Consider the following 16,233-nt stretch of genomic DNA (forward strand, 5'->3'; position numbering starts at 1 on the left):
TTAGATAATAAGGGAGCTACAAATTATAACCCAGAATTCAAGATTCCTAGAATAGTATTGTTTCTTCCATTTTAAATAAAGTTCTGCAGGGACTTAATGATTCTGCAAATGTACCTCAGAAGCTGTCTTTATTTGTTTTAATTATTGGAGTTCCACGTTTGAAAAAAGAAAGGTTGAAAACTTTTTGTACTATATGGATAGTCTATTTTTAGACATGATTTTTGTTTTACGTACTTTCAGGTCCCAATCCCACCTTAGAGAACCATATCTCTTGTTTTATTTTAGTGAGGAAAGAAATATACTTTTGCTAAAATTTACTTTATTTCATGCGTTTCTTGAACATAGTAAATGAGGAATTGCTTTTTTGTGTGTTTTTGTAGGGTCTCGTATAGTGATATACTAGATCTTAGCAAGGTACCAAAAATAGCTGCCTCCTGCTGAAAAGCTTTGTGACCACAAACAAAGTTGTGAACTTTGTCAGACACAGTGCCAGCTACTTGGAAGGCTGAGGCAGGAAGATCACTTGAGCCCAGGAGTTCAAGGCTACAGTGAACTATGATATTGCCACCATACTCCAGCCTGGGCAACAGAGCATGACTCATCTCAAAAAAAAAAAAGCACCGAAGTTGTGAACTACCTACCCTACTATCCATAAAGTCTGTTTGAACTGGTTTCATGAGGCAAGCTTGGGCAGAGCATGATGCTAAACTGTTAAGCTAGACCACCCCTGCCTGGCTGAAGTGCTGATTATTAGTCAGTGGGACTGCGCACAGCAGATCATCATGTACTTCTGGCATATCCAGAGGTGACACTTCTCCCCAGATGCTCTAAGATGTAACATTAACCGTTAGCCATTGTAAACAACTGGTTTAGAGATCTCTTTAAGATGTTAATACAAGGGTCACTGTCATAGATGCCTCTCAGTTGTCTTAAGCAAAGAAATAATTTGTCCATAAAACTGCTCATTTTTGACAGTCCTTTCAGCTTTTTTTCCTAATTGAGTTCAGATACTGAAGGTCTACCGAGCTGGACCAGGTATGACTACTTTGAAAGAGTCTAAATAATATAGTAAATATATATGTAAATTTCTAAAAAACAAATAAGGATAATAGCTAATATTAAAGTGCTTTGTACATTGTACCTACATTCTCATTTAATCGTTTTAAGAACCCTATAAGTATAGATGCTATAATTATTTCCATTTTACTGATGGGAAAGCTGAGATCTGGAGAAGGTGAGTAGTTTACCCAAACTTACAGCTTATAAGAGGTAAAAACAGAATTTAAATCCAAATAATCTAATTCCACAGCTCACCATTTGACTACTACCCAATTATGTCCAAAAAAAGGGAAGAAATTAACATCTCTCCCAAGCAGGAAAGGGAATATCAGGAAGACTTTAGGAAAAAGGAGGCATTTGAAATGGACTTTGATTATAAGTTAGACTCAGATGTAGAAATAAAGAATATTCCAGGCCAGAAGATAAAAAAATTATACTGTGAGCAATGTGAAAGGCCCTAAGATAGAAAAATAGGGTACAAAAACAAATGTGCCTTTAGTTTGGTTTAACTAGAGCATAGATATGTGAAGGTATAAGTTCAGGAAAGAGTTGATAGAGTCTAAATTTTGATATGAGCATAATTTTGAATTAAGGAGGATGTATTGGGGGCTGGGAGCATATGATTACCATATGCCCAAAGATAACATGGGAATTCTTCCTCAAATTTATCCGTTAGAAAAGAGGGGAATAACCATGTATTCAGACCTTTATCGTACTCTCATATTACAGGGTTTTCACTGTCCTTTACTTTGAACAACAACAAACCAAAAAAGGTTAATGAAATAAAATGAAACAGGTGAGAACAAATGTGCCTGCAAAGACTTCAGCTCATGTAGTTAGAAATGTTCATTGAGAACATCAGACAGAATATTTTTAAGGAATAAACATAAATTTAGTCCTTATTCTCAGCAATATGACTTCACTATTCTGAGGACTGTATGTGATTTTAAACAACTGGCTTAAAGATCTCTTTAAGATGTCAATATAAGGGTTACATGAATAAAAACCTATAAGAGAAAGGAAAAAAAAATCTAGTTTTATTTTAATGTTATGTAAATAGGTGCTTTTCACTGCACATTTTACCTGAAGATACAACTTAGATGGAATGTGTTATGTTATGCCAGAAAACTGCAGGAGCGTTCATAATTTAGCTTCAGTGAAGGTAAAGATGCTGGTGTCTTTACCTATGTAGAGTTTGGGGGAGAGGGAGCAGTATTTCTGAATTAATATATTTAATATGCAATCTTATTTACGTGTGTAAATTAATGAGTTAGATAATTATAGATATCTCATTCACATTCCTTAAAGTTTAAATTTGTTCAAGTTGGCAAATAAAAAAGGTTTTCTGGTTTTTTAGTTCCTTTTTCTCAGGTGGGAAATTAACAAATTTGTCTTATATTCAGAGCACCTTTAGAATTGGCTACATGTGGTTTATCTTAGTTTGCAGAAAATAAATTTCATGTAATTCAGCAGCCATTTCTGCTTCTTTAAAAGTTAAAATAAGAATACATTATCAGAGGCCGGGGCGCGGTGGCTCACGCCTGTAATCCTAGCACTTTGGGAGGCCGAGGTGCACGGATCACAAGGTCAGGAGATCAAGACCATCCTGGCTAACATGGTGAAAACCCGTCTCTACTAAAAACACAAAAAATTAGCCGGGCGTGGTGGCAGGCGCCTGTAGTCCCAGCTGCTCAGGAGGCTGAGGCAGGAGAATGGCATGAACCTGGGAGGCGGAACTTGCAGTGAGCCAAGATCGCGCCACTGCACTCCAGCCTGGGCAACGGAGCGAGACTCCGTGTCAAAAAAAAAGAATACATTATCAGAAATAATTAAATAGGAATAAACCAAACATGACTGCTGTTGCCATTATATTTTAGCATTCTTTTGGTGATTTTAATTGACATAAATATAAGAAGAGCAAAAATATTATTTGTAGATTATCACCTAACAAAATCTAAGACACTTATCAAGGTGGCAAGATACATAATAAATGTACAAATAAATAGCTTATCTTTATACCAGCAGTAACCAATTAGTCGTATGGGTATACCAGCACATACGTAAAAGGCTGTTGGTTGCAGCATTATTTTAAGTAGCAAAAATGAAACAACCAAAGTGTTTATCATTAGGAGACTGATGCCATTTAGAAATTAAAGTAGTATGCTATAGAACACTATGTATAGGAAAGGCATGTTTTTGTTTTGTTTATTTTAACAAAAAAAGAAAACTATGTGAAAATGGCCACTTACGCATAGAAAAAAATCCATGAAGGTTATGCACCAAACGACTAATAGTGGTTACCTCTGGAGAATAGGATTAGGGGTATTTTCATTAACTTTATAATATGATGTACTAGTTAAAATTTTTATTACAAGCAGATGTTGTATTAAAGAAAAAATATAAATTAGGTATTAGAAGATCTTGAAAGTCAGCCCTAAACTTCATTTTTTTTTTTTTTTTTTTTTTTTTTTGGAGACAGAGTTTCGATCTTGTTGCCCATGCTGGAGTGCAATGGTGCAATCTCGGCTCACTGCAACCTCCGCCTCCCAGGTTCAAGCAATTTTCCTGCCTCAGCCTCCTGAGTAGCTGGGATTATAGATATGTGCCACCACGCCCGGCTAATTTTTTGCAATTTTAGTAGCGATGGGGTTTCTCCATGTTGGTCAGGCTGGTCTTGAACTCTGGACCGCAGGTGATCTGCCCACCTCAGCCTCCCAAAGTGCTGGGATTACAGGCGTGAGCCACCGCGCCCAGCCTCAAGTTTTTATTTGTTAGACAGAAGGGGCAGTACTCTAGGGGTCATAGTCCTGTTTTGTTTGGTTTTGTTTGCTTGATTTATTACAGAATTTAGTATTCGAGTACAGTTATGTTCCATGCATTAAATTAGGTGTATAATTACGCACCATGCATTAAATTATACTTGAGTCCCTAGTACATAGTAGATTCCCAGGTGTCATTCCCTTTGCCCCACTTTGAGTTAAAAAATAATGTCCTTGTTTCAAAAAGAGAAACTTCATTTTTTTAATAAAATAAGCAATCTAAGGCATTAACAGCTAGTAAATATTAAAGCTAAAATTTGAAAATGTCTGTTATTCCAAATCCAGTGCTTTCCTCCCTATTTTGTAGCTATAATCAAAGCTATTCTTCAAGCATATTAATTATACAGTTGATAAAATAGGGTAAGGAAAAAAGATTAAAGGAAGCTATTGGATCTATCTGATATAGGTGCCAAAGAGAGAGCTGATGCCAAGAGATAGGGAAAAGGGAATGGCAGGGATGGGATGGGGAAAGGAACTGTCTGGATATGTTATGTAAATGTCTTTGTAAAGACCTATTGTTGGGGTGAGGGAGATAATTGGGTGAAGAGCCAATGGTAACTTGAGTATTAAAAGATTGGTTAATTTTTCCTGGTGGCACCATCACAAAGAACATCAGAGGGAAAACAAATATATAATGGAAATTGATGAATTTGGGTTTGTGCATGTCTTGATTACTAAAATCATCATTATTTACAGACACTGAAGGCTTTAGGTAAACATGCTTCCTTAGAAACATGCTGTTATTGATTTGAAATAAAACTGAATCATTGTATTTTATTCTTAGCAGCAGGGAATACAGCAGACAGCCCCTCCTCAACAGACAGTGCAGTATTCACTTTCACAGACATCAACCTCCAGTGAGGCCACTACTGCACAGCCAGTGAGTCAGCCTCAAGCTCCACAAGTCTTGCCTCAAGTATCAGCTGGAAAACAGGTAAACTTTTTTTTTTTTTTTAAACAGGTAAACTCTTAATTTCTGAAAGGGTGCTAAAAGGGATTTCCATGTAACTTGTCCTTTCATGTGGATAGACTTCTACCTTTTCTTCTAAGGGTAACCAACCCTTGAAGTAGGTTAATCTCATTGCAGAAATGAAGTGAAGATCACCTCATTGGTGCATATGCATTATTTAATGTAAATGGGTACGTTACTGACAGCAGTGACAATCCAAAGTTTCACTTCTAGTCTTACCAGTCCAAAATTGATGTAACAGGTATTAGAAATAACAGGTTAAATAAAGGTGCTCTGGTAACTGAACCTATGACATTCCCTAGAATTGTGTCAGCTATGTCTGATATTCTAGGTTTGAAACTATGCTTTATTTTCATGTAGATTTCTGCACTGTTTACTGTGTGGAATGTTTTTTTTTCTTAAGTAGTCCTCCTAATCACTTGAGAAGTACCCTGTAGAAGGTATGCTTTTCTGAATGACCTTTTTTCAACTTTATTTTTGAGTACTGTTGTGCATGTATGTGCACAGTGTATTGTTACCCTAATATTTCATCACATCTGAGATGCTATCAACTTTAAAATGTACCATATTTTATGTACCACATTATCAGTTATAAAGTAGATCCCAATTTCTCACATGTTAAAATGATCAGGTAGTGGAGAGGGATGATTGCATCCTAGAATGAGTGAAATATGTGAATTATACCAATTTTTATTGAGCCATGTTGGACTTAAGAATTTTAGAAATAATACGAATGAAATCTTAATTCCACTGGGAAGGAATTCATTTGAATTTCAGTAACTACTGTAACAGCAGTCGTAACTTTAGTGATAGCATTATGGTATATAAAATATATTCCAATAAAGCTGTTAAAAAAAAAAGCCAACCCCTTGTCTATGGAAGGGTCCTCTTCTATTGCCAAATGCTGAAGCATTAGCAAATATTTCTATGACAAAAGGTGTAGAACAGTAATAGTCTATTTAGCCTCTTTCTCTCCTGCTCTCCTTTCCATATTCTTATGTGGCATATTAACTTAACACTAATGTATGCAGGGTTTTGTTGGTTTGGTGTTTTTTTTTTTGTTTGTTTTTTCCTTCTTTTTGGCTAATACATAAATCTTGCTTTTGGCAGCCTTGCTTTTTTTTTTTTTTTTTTTTTTTTAAGCCTGTCTGTTTTGTTTTTCTTTACCTTCCCAGCTTCCAGTTTCCCAGCCAGTACCAACTATCCAAGGCGAACCTCAGATCCCAGTTGCGACACAACCCTCGGTTGTTCCAGTCCACTCTGGTGCTCATTTCCTTCCAGTGGGACAGCCGCTCCCTACTCCCTTGCTCCCTCAGTACCCTGTCTCTCAGATTCCCATATCAACTCCTCATGTGTCTACGGCTCAGACAGGTTTCTCATCCCTTCCCATCACAATGGCAGCTGGCATTACTCAGCCTCTGCTCACGTTGGCTTCATCTGCTACAACAGCTGCGATCCCGGGGGTATCAACTGTGGTTCCTAGTCAGCTTCCAACCCTTCTGCAGCCTGTGACTCAGCTGCCAAGTCAGGTTCACCCACAGCTCCTACAACCAGCAGTTCAGTCCATGGGAATACCAGCTAACCTTGGACAAGCTGCTGAGGTTCCACTTTCCTCTGGAGATGTTCTGTACCAGGTATTGTGTTAGTTAGCAAAAGAGGGCACCACAGAGTTTGATCCTAGTAGATCATCAGGAACATGGAAATCTAATAGTTGAGTGTCAGAATAACTAGCAATAACATGTCAACTAGAGAAGCAAAATAGTAAAATTCTGAGAAAGGATTGGATAATGATGTTCAGTGATTCCTGATCCATTTTTCTCAAGACACTTCTTCAGAGAAAAATGGTTCTCTCAGTATTCACTGTAAGCTGATTGAATGCTAGATGTGGTTAATAGTACACCTGGCAACTTTTACATATATGGGTAGAATAAATAGAATAGCCAACATGGTATCAACAAAAAGCTTCGGGGTTTAGACTGGGAAAATTAGCATTTCATGATATGACTGTTATGTGGAAGAATTTTTGCATTTTTCCATTTAAGATTGGCTAGGAAGAAATTGTGTTCCTCCTATTTAAATCATCTCTAGGTGAAGATAACCGACAATAAAGTAGTATTGTAGAGTCCTGTCTCTTCTGTTGGAACCAGTCTACTACTTCATTTCAAGAATGTGGTCTTTATATGCCCTTTAGATTATTAGAAAGAGATTGGCTACTATTCTTCTTTGCTGTGTGCTTCTTTTTTTTTTTTTTGCATGTCTTGCTGTTTTGCTAATTTATTGACCCCCAACCTGCTCTAACTCACCTTCCTCATTTCTGTCACAGGGCTTCCCACCTCGACTGCCACCACAGTACCCAGGAGATTCAAATATTGCTCCCTCTTCCAACGTGGCTTCTGTTTGCATCCATTCTACAGTCCTATCCCCTCCCATGCCGACAGAAGTACTGGCTACACCTGGGTACTTTCCCACAGTGGTGCAGCCTTATGTGGAATCAAATCTTTTAGTTCCTATGGGTGGTGTAGGAGGACAGGTTCAAGTGTCCCAGCCAGGAGGGAGTTTAGCACAAGCCCCCACTACATCCTCCCAGCAAGCAGTTTTGGAGGTAAATAGAATTACTGCATGTTTATATGTAAAACGTATATATGTAATTGGACAACAATGATAAAGGAGAAAGAAACAGGCTCCCCTGGTTTAGAACTTATTTGGAGACCATGTCAAACTAACTTCTGCATGACTTTTTCTTACAGCAGAATGAAATGCCAATGTGGGGTCCTTGTTTCCACTGGCTGTTCTGTTGGGAAGTGAGTGTGCCTTGGAGAAGATGAACCCTATTAGCACTTCACTTCTCTAGCTAGTACTTTAGCCATTATTCTTGTCCTTTCACAAACTTTTTCCATTGGCAGTCATAAGAGTATCTTACCCTCCTGTGCTCTCAGCAATCATTTTTGCCCTGCTAGGAGAAGATCTGAATTCATCTTTGTACTATGCTCTGTCTGCGCTATTGCACACTCTTGGTAAGATGCTGGCTGCATGGCAAGTTGTAGGTTCACACTGCCTAGCAGATATGTTGGCTGACCTCATACCATGCAGTCTATACCAGAGACTAGCTTTAGCAACTTCCTTTGGAATTTTAAGACCATTATCTCTAGATGCTGAATATTGAGAATTTACTAGTAAATTTAGTGCTTCTAGGACGTAGTGGGGAGGGATAAGGAAAAAAATAAGTAGATTATTGGGGATAGTGAATGATAAATCTATTACTACCGAGATTTGAGTTATCTTTTCGATTCACAGAGTACTCAGGGAGTCTCTCAGGTTGCTCCTGCAGAGCCAGTTGCAGTAGCACAGACCCAAGCTACCCAGCCGACCACTTTGGCTTCCTCTGTAGACAGGTACGTAAAACTAGAATTCTCCTTCCTTGACTGGTAAATAAGACGGTATGAAACGCCAAACTGTCAGACCTTTAAATCTCATATTATAAACTGCACTTTTTTTTCTTTTTAAATTTCAAAGTGCACATTCAGATGTTGCTTCAGGTATGAGTGATGGCAATGAGAACGTCCCATCTTCCAGTGGAAGGCATGAAGGAAGAACTACAAAACGGCATTACCGAAAATCTGTAAGGAGTCGCTCTCGACATGAAAAAACTTCACGCCCAAAATTAAGAATTTTGAATGTAAGTATTCCTAATTTGTGAGTTTCATGTTGTTAAAGGAATTTGACACTGAAAAAGATTTTAGAGGTCATCAAATCCAAACCACTCACTTCATAAAATAAAGATAACTATCTGTGTGTGACAGATAATTTTTTTTTTTTTTAGACGGAGTCTCGCTCTGTCGCCCAGGCTGGAGTGCAGTGGCATGATCTCTTCTCACTGTGATTGCAGTGCCTCCTGGGTTCAAGCGATTCTCCTGCCTCAGCCTCCCAAGTAGCTGGGACTACAGACACGTGCCACCACGCACGGCTAGTTTTTGTATTTTTAGTAGAGACAGGGTTTCACCATATTGGTCAGGCTGGTTTCAAACTCCTGACCTCAGGTGACTCACCTGCCTCAGCCTCCCAAACCACTGGGATTACAGGCACCCAGCCAGATAATTTATATAGTACTCTTCTCATTTCATGCCCACAGTCTCTTTGACTTAAATATCACATTTTTAGAAAAATGAAAAGGTAGTTCATAAAGCTATGATAGGGCCAGCAGTTAATATCATTTAAATATTTCTTAAGGCTTAGATGAATTGATGAATGTATAGGATCTTATAATTAGCCAAATGATATTCTTACATTCCATATTTCTATGATAAAGCACTACTTATCTTTTAGAAAAAGAATAGAGAGTTTTAGTAAGTAGCTCAAAGGCTAACGTCTTCTCAAAGATTTTTCTTGCTACCAGTTTAAGAGACAAAGTACTAGTGCTCCAAGGAACAGCGATAACACTATGCTTCCTTAGACATAAAGTCAAGTGCTAATCTGCATTGCTTTTCTGAAATTCAGTAATAAAGCTGAATATGGTCTTTGGAGATGATGTACCTTTTTTCTTTTTAGGTTTCAAATAAAGGAGACCGAGTAGTAGAATGTCAATTAGAGACTCATAATAGGAAAATGGTTACATTCAAATTTGACCTAGATGGTGACAACCCCGAGGAGATAGCAACAATTATGGTACGTCTGCATTTGGAGTTCTAGGTTTTTCCTTAGTACTTGATCTTAATAGCCATTGCTCTAGGCAAATATGCCATATTTTATAATCCATGTTTTTTTAAAGTTATGCATTTACTTCAATGTGAATAAAACTATCACACCCAACCTGTGATTTAGTGATGTTTTTGTCTAGGCTATGTCTAACTAGATATTGAAGTTCTTAAAAAGAGAAGAGCTAACTTGAGTACAAAATAAATAAAAATATAGGTAAGTATGCAGATAGGACAGAAGTCATAAAAGTGACATAAAGTTTGAGAAATGACACTAATTAGACTGACATCACATTTCTTTTACAGGTGAACAATGACTTTATTCTAGCAATAGAGAGAGAGTCGTTTGTGGATCAAGTGCGAGAAATTATTGAAAAAGCTGATGAAATGCTCAGTGAGGATGTCAGTGTGGAACCAGAGGGTGATCAGGGATTGGAGAGTCTACAAGGAAAGGATGACTATGGCTTTTCAGGTTCTCAGGTAGGTTCACCACTCCCATAGTGAAACTTTGTTGATTTAAAATATTTTCATAGTTCTAAATTTGCTATGCAAAATGTCCAGTGATATCACCTGACACCCATGACCGACAACAAACTTTTATGTTCTCTTCACATGTGGCAGTTTGCTTTGCCTAGTCATTGAGATTGCATTTGAGAATGTATTTAATCACTTTTGTTTGTTGTAGAAATTGGAAGGAGAGTTCAAACAACCAATTCCTGCGTCTTCCATGCCACAGCAAATAGGTGAATTTATTTTCTTTCCTTGTTTTTACCTTTGACTTAAGAAGCCATTAGCCGAGGGTGGTGGCAGGCTTCTGTAGTCCCAGCTACTCAGGAGGCCGAGGCACGAGAATCGCTTGAACCCAGGAGGCGGAGGTTGCAGTGAGCTGAGATCGCGCCACTGCACTCCAGCCTGGGTGAGAGAATGAGACCGTGCCTCAAAAAAAGCAGTTGTATGTGCCAATAATGAAGTCTAACAATATTTATAATAATAATGCTATTAAGTTACGTTTGTTTGTTTGTTTTTGACCAGGCATTCCTACCAGTTCTTTAACTCAAGTTGTTCATTCTGCGGGAAGGCGGTTTATAGTGAGTCCTGTGCCAGAAAGCCGATTACGAGAATCAAAAGTTTTCCCCAGTGAAATAACAGATACAGGTAAGGGATTGATTCTGCCACATTGTTATGTAAATTCTACAGTGCCTCTGCTATGTTGAAAGCTTAATCATAAAGCAGTAATTTATGATGACACAGATAATAAAAAAGAATAGAAAACTGAAGTTATAACCAACAGATAAACATATGGGAGAGGGAAATAGATGAAGAATACAGAGAATTACAGAAAAAGCCAAGAAGCACGGCCATACCAAGATATAGTCTGTATAATAGATATTGTAGTATGTGTTTATTTCTGCACTTAGTACTGTTGTCTATGTTTTAAGATTACTCCATATTTTTTATCAAAAACAGATATTTATAGGAGCTGACTTAGGCTAGCAGACAATCTTTTGAATCCATCCTTTTAAAATCAGCTGATTCTTATCTTTTTGTATTCCTTTGCAGTTGCTGCCTCTACAGCTCAGAGCCCTGGAATGAACTTGTCTCACTCTGCATCATCCCTTAGTCTACAACAGGCCTTTTCTGAACTTAGACGTGCCCAAATGACAGAAGGACCCAACACAGCACCTCCAAACTTTAGTCATACAGGACCAACATTTCCAGTAGTACCTCCTTTCTTAAGTAGCATTGCTGGAGTCCCAACCACAGCAGCAGCCACAGCACCAGTCCCTGCAACAAGCAGCCCTCCTAATGACATTTCCACATCAGTAATTCAGTCTGAGGTTACAGTGCCCACTGAAGAGGGGATTGCTGGAGTTGCCACCAGCACAGGTGTGGTAACTTCAGGTGGTCTCCCCATACCACCTGTGTCTGAATCACCAGTACTTTCCAGCGTAGTTTCAAGTATCACAATACCTGCAGTTGTCTCAATATCTACTACATCCCCGTCACTTCAAGTCCCCACATCCACATCTGAGATCGTTGTTTCTAGTACAGCACTGTATCCTTCAGTAACAGTTTCAGCAACTTCAGCCTCTGCAGGGGGCAGTACTGCTACCCCAGGTCCTAAGCCTCCAGCTGTAGTATCTCAGCAGGCAGCAGGCAGCACTACTGTGGGAGCCACATTAACATCAGTTTCTACCACCACTTCATTCCCAAGCACAGCTTCACAGCTGTGCATTCAGCTTAGCAGCAGTACTTCTACTCCTACTTTAGCTGAAACCGTGGTAGTTAGCGCACACTCACTAGATAAGACATCTCATAGCAGTACAACTGGATTGGCTTTCTCCCTCTCTGCACCATCTTCCTCTTCCTCTCCTGGAGCAGGAGTGTCTAGTTATATTTCTCAGCCTGGTGGGCTGCATCCTTTGGTCATTCCATCAGTGATAGCTTCTACTCCTATTCTTCCCCAAGCAGCAGGACCTACTTCTACACCTTTATTACCCCAAGTACCTAGTATCCCACCCTTGGTACAGCCTGTTGCCAATGTGCCTGCTGTACAGCAGACACTAATTCATAGTCAGCCTCAACCAGCTTTGCTTCCCAACCAGCCCCATACTCATTGTCCTGAAGTAGATTCTGATACACAACCCAAAGCTCCTGGAATTGATGACATAAAGACTCTAGAAGAAAAGCTGCGGTCTCTGTTCAGTGAACACAGCTCATCTGGAGCTCAGCATGCCTCTGTCTCACTGGAGACCTCACTAGTCATAGAGAGCACTGTCACACCAGGCATCCCAACTACTGCTGTTGCACCAAGCAAACTCCTGACTTCTACCACAAGTACTTGCTTACCACCAACCAATTTACCACTAGGAACAGTTGCTTTGCCAGTTACACCAGTGGTCACACCTGGGCAAGTTTCTACCCCAGTCAGCACTACTACATCAGGAGTGAAACCTGGAACTGCTCCCTCCAAGCCACCTCTAACTAAGGCTCCGGTAAAATTATTGTTATAAAATAATTAGATAAATATGATCAGTTTTTTTTCTCCCTAATGAGTACATTTTTCACTTCAGCCTTGTAAGTTAGAAACATATTTATAAAGGTACCTGGCTTATAGTATTTATTAAATTGACAGCAGTTTGAGGGTATATCTACAATGAACATGAGATTTTTTTTTCAAGTGTGGCAGGATTTTAGGGTTAATTATGCTGCACAGTTTTCCAAGATGGTATAATTATCGGGTAAAATACAGGTATTTCTTCTGAATTGGTACAAACTGAAGAAGTCTGTATCCCAAAAGGGAGCTAAATGCATCTGTCAGCAAAATGTACGTAAATAATAGCAGTTCATAGTCTTTGTTTCAGTGAGAATGAAGCAAATTTTTGGTTTTGTTGTAGATTCCACAGTTGTACAGTTTGGGGGTTATAAAAAATTGGAAGTTAGTAAGGAAATTGATACAGAGGAGAAATAAATAATCTAATCCTAGGACTGAAGTAACTAAAATTTATTATCTAATTATGCTGTGGTGGATTTCCTCTTGTTCTGCCACCTTCTCCAAATAACAAGGCTGTGTTACGTCTACTGTATTGTATGCTTCAGCCTCTTTCTGCATTGCCATTGATGTGAGGTTCTTTTTATAGTAGGATAATGCAGAATCTTCACTCAGATAAAATAGAAATTCTTGATAATAGTATTAGATTTCTGATGCCTTTTGTTATCAGACCTGCCCATTGGTTATTTCTTAACCAGTTACTGTTTTCTTTTCTCAGAAAATCTTGTTTTACATGGCGAAAGTCTGATACATACTGTACCAAATAAGTAGCTCAAGAATATCTGGACACTGCCACTTATGTACATATAGCCTTTGTTCTGTTCTCCCTAGGGGACAACTTTTTACTGTATTTTACTATTCATTTTATAGGTATATCGTAGTAACCCCTATAATAACAACATTAGTTGTCACACCGTTTTTTTAAGACAGATACCAGAGAGTAACCTCAGTGATAAACATGTCTTAACTATATATATTTTATTCTTATGTTTGTGCATTCAAATTAGTTGATTTGCTCTTCAGTACGCAGTCTTTATATTTAGCGTCTCACGGACTTGATTTTCCCTTTGTTGTCTGTAGGTGCTGCCAGTGGGTACTGAACTTCCAGCAGGTACTCTACCCAGCGAGCAGCTGCCACCTTTTCCAGGACCTTCTCTAACCCAGGTGCCTCAAGACTTGACAAATTTCTTCCTGTGCCCTACTTTCTTTGACAAAGCTTGCTGAAGTTCTCCACTACGTGGTCTTGGCTTTTGCCTATTTGTCTTTGACTTAGTAACACCTTTCTTTTAAAATGTTATAACCAATGACCCAGTTCCTACTTAAGTAAGAAGCTTCATAGCTCTTTTGTTTGTAATGTTGCTTCCGGTTATCCAAAAACACTTGATACTAATTTTTTTTTTATATCTTATGAAGGAAGAAAACAGCAAAGCAAACATTTTGTCAGACCCATATAGCTCCCTTTATCACTCACACTTCTGTAGAATAGCGAAATTGCGTATATAATCAAAATTAACTTTGAGAGTGCCCTAGAAAGGAGAAGCACAATATGGCAACTGAGAAACTTTTTCCGCGAGTCCAGAGCAACCAGTCTCTTCTTGAATGTTGATCATTTCTTTCACTAGCCACCTAATGAAGGAATTAGCTTACTTATAGGTAGGTATAGGGGTGATGTTTCATGAAAACTATGTGTGCTGTCTCTTTTAAAATAAAAGCCACCGAGCTCAGTGAGATGCTAACATTATGAGATCACTCATGGAGGAACTGAGACCAGCCTCATGAACTTGAGATTCCCATCTCACACAGTTCTGCTCACTTGAGTGCAGTGGTGGACAGAATTACCTGTAATATTTATTATTTCTCTTTCCCACCGCAGTCCACCGCCAACACATTTGTTGAATTTCCATAAGAAAAGTACTAATTGTGAATCTGTTGTGACCAGGAAAAATCTTCTGACATGAGACAAGCCAGTAAACTTTTAAACTAAATTAGGAATTTATTTTTGAATCATATATAAGAAATAAGAAAAACATGGTAAATTGCTTACTTGAGAAGCTGAGTTGGAATTTATCCCTATTTCTTTGGTCCCAATGTACAGGGGAACACTATTTGAGGAACTTGCCACAATGAAGTAAAAACCCCAACAGAGAAAGCACTCCATCAGCCACCACATTTGGGGGAAAGTGCATTGTGAAAGTCCGTAAATCAGGAGTTAGAAAATTAGTTTTAAACTTATTTTCTCATTTAAAAACATGGATTCAGATTTCTAAGGGAGTATAAAGTGTGACAAAAAATAGCAAGTGAGACATGTGGAGGGGTAAGGGTAAATAGCTAGTGCCTAGATAGAGGGAAAGGCCTAAGCAAAGACTGTGCAAGAATAGATTGATAGAAGCCAAGACAGATGTAGGATTAGACTGTGGAAGGGTAGAAGGAAGCTGTGTGCTTGCGGTGGATGGAATGGTTAACAGGATGGAATACCCAGACCTCCTTGCCACCATCTGTAGGGAAGAAGTATACATGTAAGAAAGAGGAAAATAATACCCTGTGATAGTGACAGAATATGTTAATGCCATCTTTTATTCATAGGGGCACCTTCCCAGAAAGATGTATAAAACTGAGAAAGAAAAGAGGGAACATGAGATACAGTGAATCTACCAGTAGATCTTTGTACATTTTTCACAATATATTTTAAAGGTCGCACAAATAAATAACTCTTTCTACCGTTTTGAGTAACATCAAACATAGAATGTAATAAGACTTCTCTTAAACTGCAAAAACATGAACTACTCTGAGCCTTGAGAGTCTGACATACAATCTTGAGAAACTGGCAAAATAATCAAAGCAGTACACTAAATTTGAGTATAGTTTTGTATGTTCCATAAAGACAAATGTTATGTTGTGCCAATATAAAGCATAAAACAGTGTGTCCTATCTAAATTGGCTATATATCGTGACTCTGAAGGTGCCACGGAACTGTATTTACTGTGATTGTTTTCATTCAGTCCCAGCAACCTCTAGAGGATCTTGATGCTCAATTGAGAAGAACACTTAGTCCAGAGATGATCACAGTGACTTCTGCGGTTGGTGTAAGTTTTGAAAATCTTGATAAAATCTCCTCATAACCCTAATATATTATATGCCTGGGACACAAACTGTAACCTAAACCATTATTAATACCTTTAACATGTATTCAGAGTTCCTGCTTATTCTAGCCAAAAGAAATGAGACTGATTAATGAAAGATTCATGCTGACTCAGGAGTATCACTATGGAAAAGATTTTATTTGAAAGGTGCTTTTTTAGTTGTACGTCTGGTCAGATTGTGCCATAGATCAATTCTATGGATTTCGTATTTTTGTTTCAGAGGAGGCTAAATTTTGTCAGATAAAATAATGTTTTGGGCTAGGTGCAGTGGCTCACGCCTGTAATCCCAGCACTTTGGGAGGCCGAGGCGGGCGGATCACAAGGTCAGGAGATCGAGACCGTCCTGGCTAACACGGTGAAACCCCATCTCTAGTAAAAATACAAAAAATTATCCAGGTGTGGTGGTGCACGCCTGTAGTCCCAGCTACTCGGGAGGCTGAGGCAGGACAATGGCGTAAAACCCAGGAGGCAGAGCTTGCAGTGAGCCGAGATTGCACCACTG

General features: G+C 38.6%; 1 protein-coding gene across 51 annotated transcripts in view; it reads left to right on the forward strand.

The window, feature by feature from the left end:
* WNK1 (WNK lysine deficient protein kinase 1) overlaps positions 1 to 16,233 on the forward strand; it is a 158,874-nt gene that overhangs the window by 120,971 nt on the left and 21,670 nt on the right. For 9 of the 51 annotated variants that reach the window (XM_011520997.4, XM_011521000.3, XM_011520999.3 and 6 more), the window contains 12 exons: positions 4,663 to 4,812; positions 6,024 to 6,482; positions 7,172 to 7,450; positions 8,143 to 8,240; positions 8,362 to 8,524; positions 9,394 to 9,510; positions 9,846 to 10,019; positions 10,225 to 10,282; positions 10,572 to 10,694; positions 11,100 to 12,535; positions 13,672 to 13,755; positions 15,591 to 15,674. In XM_011520997.4, coding sequence (XP_011519299.1) covers positions 4,663 to 4,812; positions 6,024 to 6,482; positions 7,172 to 7,450; positions 8,143 to 8,240; positions 8,362 to 8,524; positions 9,394 to 9,510; positions 9,846 to 10,019; positions 10,225 to 10,282; positions 10,572 to 10,694; positions 11,100 to 12,535; positions 13,672 to 13,755; positions 15,591 to 15,674 — 3,225 coding nt within the window. The remainder of the gene's footprint in view (positions 1 to 4,662; positions 4,813 to 6,023; positions 6,483 to 7,171; positions 7,451 to 8,142; positions 8,241 to 8,361; positions 8,525 to 9,393; positions 9,511 to 9,845; positions 10,020 to 10,224; positions 10,283 to 10,571; positions 10,695 to 11,099; positions 12,536 to 13,671; positions 13,756 to 15,590; positions 15,675 to 16,233) is intronic. The other 42 variants (NM_001184985.2, XM_047429376.1, XM_047429388.1 and 39 more) reach the window with 7 other exon arrangements.

This window comes from Homo sapiens, chromosome 12 (assembly GCF_000001405.40).
Source record: "Homo sapiens chromosome 12, GRCh38.p14 Primary Assembly".
Classification (NCBI taxonomy): domain Eukaryota; kingdom Metazoa; phylum Chordata; class Mammalia; order Primates; family Hominidae; genus Homo; species Homo sapiens.